The sequence below is a fragment of the Homo sapiens genome, chromosome 1 (assembly GCF_000001405.40).
Source record: "Homo sapiens chromosome 1, GRCh38.p14 Primary Assembly".
Taxonomy (NCBI): Eukaryota; Metazoa; Chordata; class Mammalia; order Primates; family Hominidae; genus Homo; species Homo sapiens.
The window spans coordinates 87,214,538-87,227,552 of record NC_000001.11 but is presented as its reverse complement, the minus strand read 5'-3'; the positions used below and the strand labels follow the sequence as shown (position 1 = coordinate 87,227,552).

Genomic DNA, 13,015 nt, shown 5'->3' with positions numbered 1-13,015 from the left:
TTGATGCATTCCCAAACAGAGACATGAGTTAACCAGAATAGGTGAGCAAGAAATAAAACTAGACATGAAGAAGATATTCACAGTCTGCCTCCTCTTATCTCAAGTGTTCATTTTATACAATTACACTTGTTACCTGATAAATTTAGGTTATACACATTTTAAAAATCCTCCTCTTTCCCTTCATCCTGAACCTGCACCTCCCAACCCTTCAAAAATTTGTCTTAGGTTGAAAATATGGATTTCTTTTTTTTTTTTTAATTTGTTTTCCACTCAGGTCTTGGGCCACAAGATTGGAACCTAGTCATAGAAGGCTTCCCAGCTGTGTGTACACATTGCTTCCATCTTTTTTTTCCTTTTTACCTTTGGACACGTGCTTCAGAAAGCCCATCTGGGTCTTTGTGCTCACCTGGGTTCATATTTGTGGACCGTTTCCACGGCTTTGTCAATTTTCTGTGAATAACAGAGTGTTGTGCATAACAGCAATGGGTCATTAGTCCAATTAAGTCTGCAGCCATTTCAATGGCTTCTGTAGGAGGAGATGGAACACAATATGTAATTTCAGCTTTTCTTGTGATGGTTTTCAATCCTTCCATGAACTAAATCATTATATCAGTTTTTTATTTTTTTTTATATGTCCCATTAAACTACAGAACTGGAACATACTTGTGAATGGTTTCTTTCTGCTTTAACTCAAGGAGTTCCTGACATAACAAAAACTGGTAATTAACTGGCTCAGAGACTTTTACAATAGCCTCTTTAAATAAGTTCCAGCATGCAGCCTCGCCATCCCACTCCACACTGCTGATAGCGCCGCAACGCACCCTCTATTAAACCAGCTATCACTCCTGCCGTCAGCTCCCTCACTCTCCGCCACGCTGTTGTTCTGCCTGGAAATGCCCACCTCTCTCCAGTTTCCCTCCTTAGTGAAGTCATCCCTTGATGTGGGACTCCTCCCTCTCTGTTCTCAGCCAAGCCCTTTCTTCACTCCCTGAGAATTCAACCTCAATAGCATCAGCATCACAGGGCCAGGGCTTCTGAGGTTCATTTTAAATGTAGATGATGCAAGGATTCAGTCCAGAAGAATGTCCAGAGGAATGTCACCCTGGCTCTCAGCCACACGCTGTGAACCCTGATCTGCTACTCCACTTCCGCTTTCTACTACCAGCCTCAGCAAGGAAAGCCCCAGTTTCTTTCTGGAAATAATCCAGTCAGTTCAACAGATTACCACAAAAGCCCCTTCCTGATCTTCCTGCTCCCAAACTTGCCCACCCCACCTACAGCTCCTTTTCCACAAAGCAGCCGTAGTGCTCTTTGAAAATGCAGCATTTCTCCCTAAGGTTTTCATTGCCCTTGGAATAAACCTAATTCCTTACCAGGGCCAGGGTCATCTCTGAACACTCTCCTCATGCTCACTGTGTTCCTACCTCCCTTCTGCTCCTCAAAGCCAAGCCAGCGTAGCTCTGGGGCCTTTGCATCAGCTGCACCCTGGGCCTGCAGTGCCAATTTGCATATGTCTGGTTCCCTCTTGCCTCAGGTCTCCACTCAGCAGTCATCTCCTCTGGGAGCCCTTCCTTCACCACCACCACCACACACACACACACACACACACACACACACACACACACACACACCACAAACCACTGTATCCCTGTATTCTATTATTTACTTTTATTTTTAATAACAATCTCACTCTACAATTATTGCTACAATCCTTTGCCTATCTGTACCTGTGTTTCACCCATAGAATGTAAGCCCCTTGAGAGCAGAGACCATTTGTCTTGCTTGTGTCACATCTGCATCTGCATTTGGCACACAATAGATGCTCAGGAAATATTTCTCGAATGAAGGGTTTTGTAACAGGAGCTGTACGATGCGCAGAAACTCCACCAATGACCAAGACCCCCCCACCTTGGGCTCCACAGCCTAGAGGGGTAAGCAGATAAGAAAATATTATCTGAACTCAAGTACACTTTAGAAGTGCAATGGGGATGCACTGTGGTGGTGAGCTGTACAGGGCCTTGGGGGAGCAGAGCTCTGCCCTTATGTTAAACCACCAAGGTGTGTGTAGATCAAGGATAGGTGATCTTTGGCAGAGGTTTGGTACTGAAACAAAGTGACTGAAGTTAAACAACAAACACCAAACACCAAACTGAAATGAAGGCAGTTCCTGGTTAAATACACCAACTCTGTTAATAACTCACCCTGCTGTGCAAATTTATTAAAGCAGTCTCCAAATAAACAAGTCCTAAAACTAATCAGGAAGTGGAAAAACATAAAAATAATCCCCAGCCCACAACACACAACCATGAAAACAAGAAATAAAGAAAAATCTTCTATATAAAACCCGCGGGGCCAAACTCTGTCCTCAATTAGTGGTGCCGGCTGCCAGCTGAAGTCAATGGAGGTTTTCAGTCCAATAATAGAGGCAAGATTCGGGGCCCACGATGCATTTCATTTACTTTTGGGTAATAAACCAGGAATGTCAAGTAGATGTGCGTGGGCTTCGATGACATGAAACTTAAACCTAACAGCACTATCCTCCATGTTGAGATCCACTGGAGCTCAGGGCAGCCAAGGAGGTTCTACAGTGTTTGTGAAGAGACAACTTGCGTGGGTTGTGCTAGGCATCACTAGGAGGAGGGAACTCGTCTGGCCAGGCCTACACCCTGCCCAGGACTGGCTGCATAATTTGTGGGCCCCAGTGCAAAATGAAAATAACTCCTTGTTCAAAAATAATTAAGAAGTTCAAGATGTTAACAACAGAACATTAAACCAAGTCCAAGGCCCTTCTGAGCACAGAGTCCTATACAGTTGCATAGTTTGGACACTTATGGAGCCAGCCCTGAGTAGGAAAAATTCTGGAACACAAGCTTGGGCTCAGATTTAGAGCTCTGCATCAGTGTCACAGCTGACAATTTTTAAGCACTTCCTATGTTACCAGGAACTGTTCTAAGTGCTTTACCCATATTAACTCACTGATGCCTCACAGCAAGCCCATGCAAAAAGAAGTCCAAGTAGCCCCATTATATATTGAACAAATTGAGCTGCCCAAGGTCATACAGCTTGTAAGTGGCTGAGCCAAGATTCAAACCCACATGATCTAGCTGTTAGCCACCTTCTACTGCTTGTTAGCAGTAGTCATGTTAACTGTGTTAGTCACTCGACACGTCATTGTGTTTCTCTCATTCTAACAAGCCTCTTACTCATATCTCATGAGATTCATTTCCATCACAACCAAGGACTGTCTGAATTAAATTATCCACTTTGTGGCTTGCTACTTGTGTGACTTTGAATCAGTTCTTTGGCCACTCTAAGTTCAAATTTCCTCATCTGAATAAAAGAGATTAAAATAGTACTGATCTCATGATTGAGTTTGTTGAAGGAAAATGCCAGGTGAATAGGCAGTACTCAATAAAATGTTAGCTCCTGCTATTGCTATTATTGTTTGCAAACCTTAAATAGATCTTAAGCTGACTGTAATAAAATAATAGTTACCATGTATTGAAACTTATCATATACCAGGAAATTTACATAGATCATATCATATATTACTACAAACCTAATGAAGGACACCAAGATAACTAAATAGGGAAAGAATATTCTTTTTAACAAATGATGCCAGGACAATGACATATCCATATATGTACAAAATAATAAAGGTAGACCCCTTCCTCACACCATATACAAAAATTCAAAATGGATTATAGACCTAAATGTAAGAATCAAACTATGAAACTCTTAGAGAAAAACATAGGACTGAATCTTTATAATCTTGGGCTAGGCAATGGTTTCTTATACAGGGCACAAAAAGTACAAGCTACAAAAGGAAAAAACAGAAAAATTGAACTTCAACAAAATTTTGAAATTTTGGGCAACAGAGGACACCATTAGGAAAGTGAAGAGAACCCATAAAATAGGAGGAAATACTTGCAAATCATATATTTGATGAGGAAATTGTATCCAGAATATAAATAATTCTTATAACTCAACAATAGAAAGACAACCCAATTAAAAATTAGCAAAGAATTTTAATAGACATTTCTCCAAAGAAAATATACAAATGGCCAATAAGCACGCAAAAGATCTTCAATATCATTTGTTGTTAAAGAAATGCAAATAAAAATCATAATGTGATACCACTTCACACCAAGATGGCTAAAATCAAAAGGACAGAATACAACAAATTTTGTCAAGGATGTGAAGAAATGGAAACTCTTATTTATTGTTGGCGGGACTATAAATGGTACAACTGCTTTGGAAAATAATTAGATAGGTTCTCAAAAAGTTAAACATACAATTACCTTCAGTTCCAGCAATTCCACTTTTAGGCATATACCCAAGAGATTTGAAGATAGATAATTCAATACAAAAGCTTGTATACAAATGTTCATGGCAGCATTATCCATAATTGCCAAAGAAAACCCAAATGTCCATACACTGATGAATAGATAAACAAAATATGGTATATTCATACAATGAAATATTACTCAGCAATAAAAAGGAATGAAGTACTGATACATGTAAAAGATTGGATGAATCTTAAAAACATTATGTTAAGTAAAAGAAGCCAGTCACAAAAACCACATACTGTATGGTTTCTTTTACATGAAATGTCTAGCATAGACAAATCCAGAGAAACTGAAATAAGTGGTTGCTGGGAGGGATAGGGGAAAGGAGGAATGGAGAGTGACTATTAATGGGTATGAGTTTCTTATGGGGGTGATGAAAATATTCTGGAATTAGATAGTGGCAATTGTTGCATGACTCTAAATATACTAAAAAATCACTGACTGAAATCACTTTAAAAGGGTGAAATGTTATATAGTATGTAAATTATATCTTGAAGAAGCTGTTATGAACAACAAAACCCCCAAATCCTAATAAGGTAGGTTTCATTTTCCCTGTTTGGTAGACAACGAACTGAGATTCAAAGTGGGTAAGAAACTTTCTTAAGGTCAAAGAGCAAGGCAATAGGAGCTACTATTGAAACCTACATGCATCTCATTTCCACATCTACGCCCTTCATTAAACTGCTTCCAAAGCTCTGATAACAACAACAACAACAACAAAAAATCCTTCTCAAAACAAGAAAGAGGTTCCAGCCACATTTGGTTTAGATCTGAGGTCACTTAATTCAAGCCTCATTTTCTCAAGTCCTTTACCGCCAGCTTGATCCTAGGCCCCGGGCAGATGGGTGTGTGGTGAGACACATGGGAAGCCTATGAAAGGTCATAAACTTATGTCAGTCTGGCCACTGACCCAGACTGTGGCCTACTGGCTCTGATGGAGAAGTCTATCCCAAAAATCAATAGTAATGGCAGTGGCTCAATTCAATTGCTCACGAATCCCCATCCATCATTAGGACAGCAGAATGGCAATGCTGGCCTTGCTAGGACCTAGTCTTTCACATTTACAGGCTTCATGCAAGTAGATGGCCCTTTCACCCTTAATGATTCCCTATGTCAGAGCACTGACACGTCTCCTAAAGCAATACTCAATATTTACTCCTATTATTATACATTGTATTTACTATGACCTGTATATCATAATTATCCACTGACCTGTCTTCTTCTACTCCCTCTTCAGTGAGATTCTTAAAGAAAGGACTGTGTTTCATTCATTTAAAAATTTTCCACACCATAGAAACTTCCCATCACGTATTAACAAAAGTTCTAGTACCATTTCCTATGTGTATACTGTATACTTGCTGAGTGTCAGGCTCTAGCCTAAAGTTTTATGACAGTGATCATATTTGATTCTCCCAACAACTCTATGAGGTAGAGACTATCACAATCCTGATTTTACAGCTAGTAAATGGCAGCCCAATAAATCTCCTTAAACTTCTGTGAACCGTATTCTTGGTCAGTATAAACGCTATTCTTTCTGGGTCACTCCATAAAGACATGGGATATGTTTTCATTGATTCAGATCTTGCTGTATATGTACACCCTTAGCAAACATAGATGCTGGGCAGGGTGGTACCGACTGGGACATGACAGGCAGACAGCCCTGTCTTGGATCTGATCATAAACATCACGCCAGGGGTCAGCTGCCTAAATTCCAATCTTTCCATTCAGAAGGCAAGTTTATACAATTGCATACTTGAGAATTACCTCCATTAGAATTTGTTACTACACTAACGCAAAGTGAGAAATGGTATTGTGTTTTTAAAGTCCGAGTAATTTTGTTGAATGCCTTTATTCCCATTTTGGAGAGAGATTGGAATGTTTTCCCACCATGTGGGGCTATTTTACTGACTAAGGGCTGTGGCACCCACAGTCTGATGGTTTGTAACAATTTTCTGGGGTTTAGGAAATCACCTTCAGTGACTAAGTCAAGCCATTAAAAAATGGGACTATTCCTCTATTCACAACTGGCTGAAGAATTTCAGGTGTTTTACTCACATCCCAAGCATTCATAATGTCAGTGTTTAAAACCAGCTTTTCCAGTCAAAACCCTCAGCCAGGACTTGAAAGGGGATCTCAAGTTCTCTCTTTGTGATGTCAGCCATTGCAGGATTCTCACACCTTTATCAACTCTCCACAGCACTCCTAAAGGCCCTTTTTAATGGGCCTTCTGCTTCAACTTCACACTCAGGGACAGAATTTAAGACATGGGTTCTCACTAGGTGTACCTGTGAACACTGAATAAGGCATGAAATATCCCTGTGGCCACCTTCTGCTGTCTTGGCCTAAAACTCCATCTTAGCTCATCGTTTGTGCCACGTGCAACGAGGTCACCCACACTTTGCTGTTGTTGCCTGTTCTCCCTTTACCTTACCACCGGAAAGTGGGGTTTTCTTGTTGTGGTGATGGTTTTTTTGGCAGGGGGGATCAGTTTTTGTGTCAGTTTTGGCTTGGGACATGTATTTGTTTTGCTTTCTTTCATATGGTAGAGGGAGGGCTATGAAATGGAGCTTCTGCTTTCTTTACTGATTCTCTCTTTTCTTGGACCCTGTCTCTCTTCCACTGTCTGGTGCTCCATCTTTCCTAACCAGCATCCTCATACTACCAGCTGGTTCTCTTACGCCTACACACACTGGCCAGGTAGACATGTGGGGAGAAGAAGCAAGAGAATATTTGAGCCAGTCAAGACCAGAGCAGGCTGGTAGTTAGTTTGGAGAAGCTGTAGCTGTTGAGGGTAACACAGATGCCAGCCAGAGGCTCCCCAGCTCTTTGTGGGTATGAAGAAAATTGACCAGAACTTACCTCCCACCCATTCTGTGGCCTTTGGAAACCCAAAGCTCTCCTCCAGATTGCTGCCACTTCCAAGGGACCTCTTCTCAAGGTTTTCAGCTCCAATTTCTGAACCAGCTACCTTTGTCCCACACATATCAATCCCAGTGTGGAATCCGGTACTTTCTTCCTTTTCTGCAATCAAATGAAAATATCCTTCACCCAGCTCTTGCTCAGTTTTATAAACTTTACTGAACCACCCCAGGCAGGTTTCTGCTCTCTCCCTCCACTTCCTGTCTTCACTTCTAGATTCCATTCATCCACTTATCATGCCCAGCAGCTGCCTTTGCCCCAGGGGCCTGGGTGCCAGTCCAGGCTCCTCTCCCCAAGCACCCATCAGTCATCTCTTGGAACCAAAGACTCTTTTCCCTTAAAGAAACTCTGTTGTCAATTATTATAAAATTTTCTCTATCTTGTTACCCTGGAAAACCTTGGGACTGTTCAGAACACGGGAAGAGGGAGTGTTCTGCTGAGACGTCACTGGGAGCAAACGAAGTTACGTAAGAGAGAGTGAGGGCAAGCAGGAACTGAACAGGCAGATTAAGACATGGGCTGCACAGATGGCCAAATAAGAAAGGGAAAAGGAAGAGAGAGAGTTCAAGGAGAGGAAAAACCAGTCTTTGGGGGTCTGCAGGAAAACCCCTCTGAAAAAGACATCAAGGCAAGGGCAGCAAGAAAATCTTTCACCAGAGCTAAGCCAGCAGAACTATTTCTCAGCACTGTGGAAACTCACAAGCACTCACTACCAGTGTAGCTGGGAATCTAGGCCTCCTAGGATGCTGGCATCTTATCTGACACTCTTCACAGGAAGGCCCTGCTGCAGAAATGAGGCGAAGCTCAGCCTCCAAACTTTGAGATCCTTGAGTCTTGCAAGAAGCATTGATGGTTTTTAGTTTCCCTGAGCATCATCCCCTCCCTGCAACCTCATGAGCTGATCTCAGCAACATTGTTTTCACTCAATGCAGGTGGGGAGTGTTGGGTTCTAGTTCTGATTGAACAATTAGCTAGCTGTGTGGCCACAGGCAATTTTTTGACTTTCAGTTTGAGTCTCTGTTTCTTTACCTGTCAAATGTAGACAATAACACTGGCCTCTTAGGGCTGCCTTGAGGACTACAGACAATCTATAACAGGTATAACAGGTACAGGGTCTGACACACAGTAGGGGCTCAGTAAAGGGCAGCTGGTTCTGCATACAAATGGATATGAATCATTCATGTTTAATTATTATTGCAAACAATAACAAATGTAGTATGTCCCATTAATTTTATTGTAAGTTTTATTTCACTGTGATCAGTGATGTGTTGATAAATATATACTAACAATTATAGTTAAATCACAACTAGATCCCTGATTTGTATCATTTGCTGATTTCCATGATGTCAATACTACCACCCTGGCCGATTTCTAACTACCAATGTGATGGTAGTTAGAACTCTGGGCACAGAGTTGGGAAGAGAATGGAGCAATCAAGAGTCATGTGACAGGCCCAGGGCGCCTCTGACAGTAGTCTCAAATCTGCTCAGATGTATTCAGATGTCACATATTGGTGCTTACAAATTAAGTCATGCACTTACAACTAAAAAAAAAGGAAATATTGTACAGCATTCTCACTAAATCAAGAAGAGCCTCCTTAGAGGAAACAGAGATTGCTCCTTTAGTTCCCCATATGCCCCTAATTCCACATTCTGCCACTCCTTGGTCACCATTTGAGTGTTCGTAATTTTTAAATTAACAAACCCCTGAGGGGTGTGTGTGTGTGTGTACACGTGTGTGCACGGGAACTGAGCTTTTCCCACCTCTTCTCTGACTATCCACATAAGTATGGATTATATTTGCAAATCAGCCTTGACTAAACTCTTATAATAGCTTGTAATATCAATTTAATGATAGATAAAATAAAGGAAAATTACATTCTCCTTCATTTAAACACTAAGCCCTTTTAATTGTTTTATTAAAAAACCTCATTTCCCCCCGTAATTGTCAATATATTTCCATCACCCCAGGAAATAAAAAGGCTCCTTTCAGGGGCAATTTTAACACCTGTAAATCCCCCAGATGGTAGAATGAGTCTGTAAGAGCTAGAGAGGAAAAGCGTTTGTTTTATAGTCTGGCAGTTTCTCAGTTTGCTCTTTATTTTTTTAAATCCTTTCATTGCATTTTTGACTAGTGTTGGATAAATAATGTTTGGATTAAAAAATCCTACTGTATGATTGTACTCAGCATTCTTGCTACCAGTTTCCCAGATTCCACATTGAATAATATATCTCTGTCTCCATGTAACACTTTGGATGGTCACATACAGAACTGGAGCGACCCAGAAGATCATCTCACTCCAACTTTTACTTTGCAAATGAGAAAATCGAGGTCCAGAATGATACCATGGTTTGCCCATGTAAGGGCCTGGCCTTTTACAATTCTCCAGGCAGCCACAGCCACCCTTGCCCTCCATGCTTCCACCTCACCCCACCACACACTCACAGTGGGATGTACAGTCACAAAATTCAGCAGAAACTAAAACATCAGCTATGCCCCAGCCAAAAACAAAAAAAAAATCATTTATCTATTCAATAAATGCTTACTGGGATGGGCGTGGTGGCTCACGCCTGTAATCCCAGCACTTTGGGAGGCCGAGGCAGGTGGTTCGCTTGAGGTCAAGAGTTCGAGATCAGCCTGGCCAACATGGCAAAACCTTGTCTCTACTAGAAATACAAAAATTAGCCGGGCATGGTGGTGTGTGCCTGTAGTCCCAGCTACTTGGTAGGCTGAGGTGGGAGAATCGCTTGAACCTGGGAGGTCGAGGCTGCAATGAACCGAGATCGCACCACGGCACTCCATTTGGGTGACGGAGTGAGACTCTGTCTCAAAAAAAAAAATATATATATATATATATATATGTATATATGTATGTATTGGACACTTATTACTGGTTACTGCCATTTTGATGCTACACTTTTTAAGCTTATGATAGATACTCACTTCCTTAAGCTCCTGCATCATCAGTGTAACCCACAGCTCTCTCACATGGAAATAAACCTTGTTAAAGAAAGCTTTTAGATATTTGCCTGTTATGTTCACCAGAAACTTGACAAAACCTCGATATTGTGCTCTGTGTTGTTTGTTTAACTCTAGACTTTATACAGACAACAAAGGATTTATTGAACTGATCAAATCCTTAGTGTGGAAGAACACTCTATGGTTTACTAAACCGTTCATTTAAACATAACTATGTGCTGTAAATGAGGTTCTCCTCCAAACCCCAAGTCATGCCACCAATGGAAAGAGGGTGGTTTTTTAAATAGACAGTTCTAGAAACATACCCAGCTCCAGCATGTGCTGGGTGAACTTCAGCAAGTTACTTCATTCCTCTGGGACTCAGTTTCCTCATCTGAAAAAATAGGAATACTACTACTTAGCTCAAAGGTTTGTCAGGCGCTAAAACCTGATCACATCTATAAAGCTTCTAGCACAGCACCCCGCAGGACGATCGCCTTGCACACATGAGCTCCCTTTCCTGTGTCTCCCCTACTCAGGAGATGGAAGGGGAGTTGACAGGAAAAAGAAAAATTAGGCGGATGCACAGGAGAAGGGGATGGATGCAAAAGGAAAGGTGTGGTGGGGGAGAAGGGGAGAGAGAATGGAAAAAGAATGGCTTAGACATGGGGCCCAAAGAACAGGAAAGGAAGAGGCTGCTGCTGAAGAGCAAGTGGGACTCTGCCTAAGAGCCCTTCTTATGCAATGTTAATCACAGTTTCAGAGAAGGCAGCCTTGGCACAGAGAGAGAAGGTAAAAAGGCCTTCTTCTCAGTCAGAAAAGAACTATCATCCCCCACAGATTCCGCATTGGAAAAACAAATGCTAATCCACTCACAAAAATATTTCTACTAAAATGCTCTGCATTCTGAAGGAGTCATTTCCATATGGGCTCCCTCATAGTTGGCACCCTTATTTGCAAAGCCTGCTGTCCTTCAGTGGTCATCCAAATTTGGTGAAACTCCAAACAGTCCTGAACTCAGAAAATAATTCTCTAATCCAACTGTTTTCTAACAATTGAATCTTTAGGCTCTGAGCCTGGTATTTTTACCTATGCCATTTAAAAAATCTGATTAATTCATATAGACCGTACTATGGGGCATAAAGAACTTTCATGAGTGTTGTCATGGATCATGTAAAAATATTGGTTCCACACCAAGCCAGTTCTACTGACTAGAAAGCAAGATAGGAAATCATGCATGAAATGAACCCAATTCCTTACTAAAGGGCTTGTTAATAAGGGGGCAATGGTGATGCAGGCCGAAGTCAGCTTATTTCCTAATACAGGATAAAATGTCTATTTTTGGTTTTATTTTTGTGTTTTAAGTGATGTACAGGATTTGAATGGAATTAAATATGAGTAGTAAGAAACATTCCAGTCTCCATCCTGTGTAACAAACTACCTTAGAACTTACTGACTTAAAACAATGACCATTTTATTGTATTTCATGAATTGTCAGGTCAGGAATCAAACAGGGCTCAGCTGGGTGATTCATCTGCTCCTCATGAAGTCAACTGAGGTTACTGAGTGGTACTTAGTTGGCATAAGGGTAGGTAGTTTCAAGATGACTTTACTCACATGTCTGGTACCTTAAGGATAGCTAGAAGGCTGGGCTCCATTGTGGTTGCTGACCAGAACACCTACACCTGGCCTCTCCTGCATGGTGGTCTCAGGGCAGCCGGACCAGTTACATGACATTGACTTCTCCTAGAAAAAGTGTCTCGAGAGAATCTATGAGGAGCTTTATGGCCTTCTCTGACCAAATCTTGGAAGTCATGTGGTGTCACTTCCACTTCATTCTATTGAGTCTAAGCAAGTCGTAAGGTCAACCCAGATTCAAAGGAGGGATATTAGGTTCCTCTCAAATAGCAAAGTGCAAAGTCACACTTTAGAAGATATGTAGGATGGGGATATTACTGCAAAATAAAATCTGTAACTGGGGACTGGGGACAAAAATCTCTGATTGCCTTCCCATGGCATGGTATCTAAAATATCCAATATCAGCTTTAAGGCCAAAAGTGGCTTTGTCTTCATTGACAGATTCTTTGCCCTGATCTGAAGTTGTTTGTTCACACAGTGCAATCCTATAATACCTACTTCCTGCCATCCCACTCAAAGACTTAGTGGATGTGGCTCTGGCAGGGCCAGCAAGGTAGTGACTTGGGGCATCAATCTATAAAGGGTGCTAAATTAACACTTAGACCTAAAATAAAATTACCGGAAGTAAAATAATATGGAGAACATTGAACACATCAGAAGTCCTCTAAGGCAGCATGCAGTGTATCATTGGAACGAATGGCTTGATAGACTCTCAGAGGTAGGAAGTGAGACTCAAAAGGAGGCATGCTTAAGTAACATCAGAGGGTCACTGAAGTACATTCTCAGGAGAGTAGATCCAGGCAACTCAGAACTTTTGCCTTCCTAGATAGATTATGCAAGTCTGGGACCAGAGATGAATTGTTTGTAAGAGTAGAAAGCAGGCAGAGCGCTACCACCATCCCATCATCTCTGCACATCCCTCAAGTCAACCTCAACTTCTCTAAAGAAACATTAAACAAATAATTAAAGAGTGGCATTTCACTGTCTGGCCCTGGACTCTAGACCCATTATTCTAGGCATCAAATCTCCCACCCAAGTAACCTTGGTTCAAGGTTGAGTGATGGACACAATGCTGAAGCAATGGGCTTGAGACTCAGGCTTCGATCTCTGACATTTACACTGCACTCTGGAAGCTTTTGTCTCAATTATGA

At 41.5% G+C, this 13,015-nt stretch overlaps 1 long non-coding RNA gene across 1 annotated transcript in view; it reads right to left on the bottom strand.

The window, feature by feature from the left end:
• LINC02801 (long intergenic non-protein coding RNA 2801) overlaps nt 1-13,015 on the bottom strand; it is a 38,663-nt gene that overhangs the window by 23,779 nt on the left and 1,869 nt on the right. Inside the window, exon 2 of the long non-coding RNA NR_167752.1 lies at nt 7,209-7,370. This is a non-coding gene — a long non-coding RNA (long intergenic non-protein coding RNA 2801). The remainder of the gene's footprint in view (nt 1-7,208; nt 7,371-13,015) is intronic.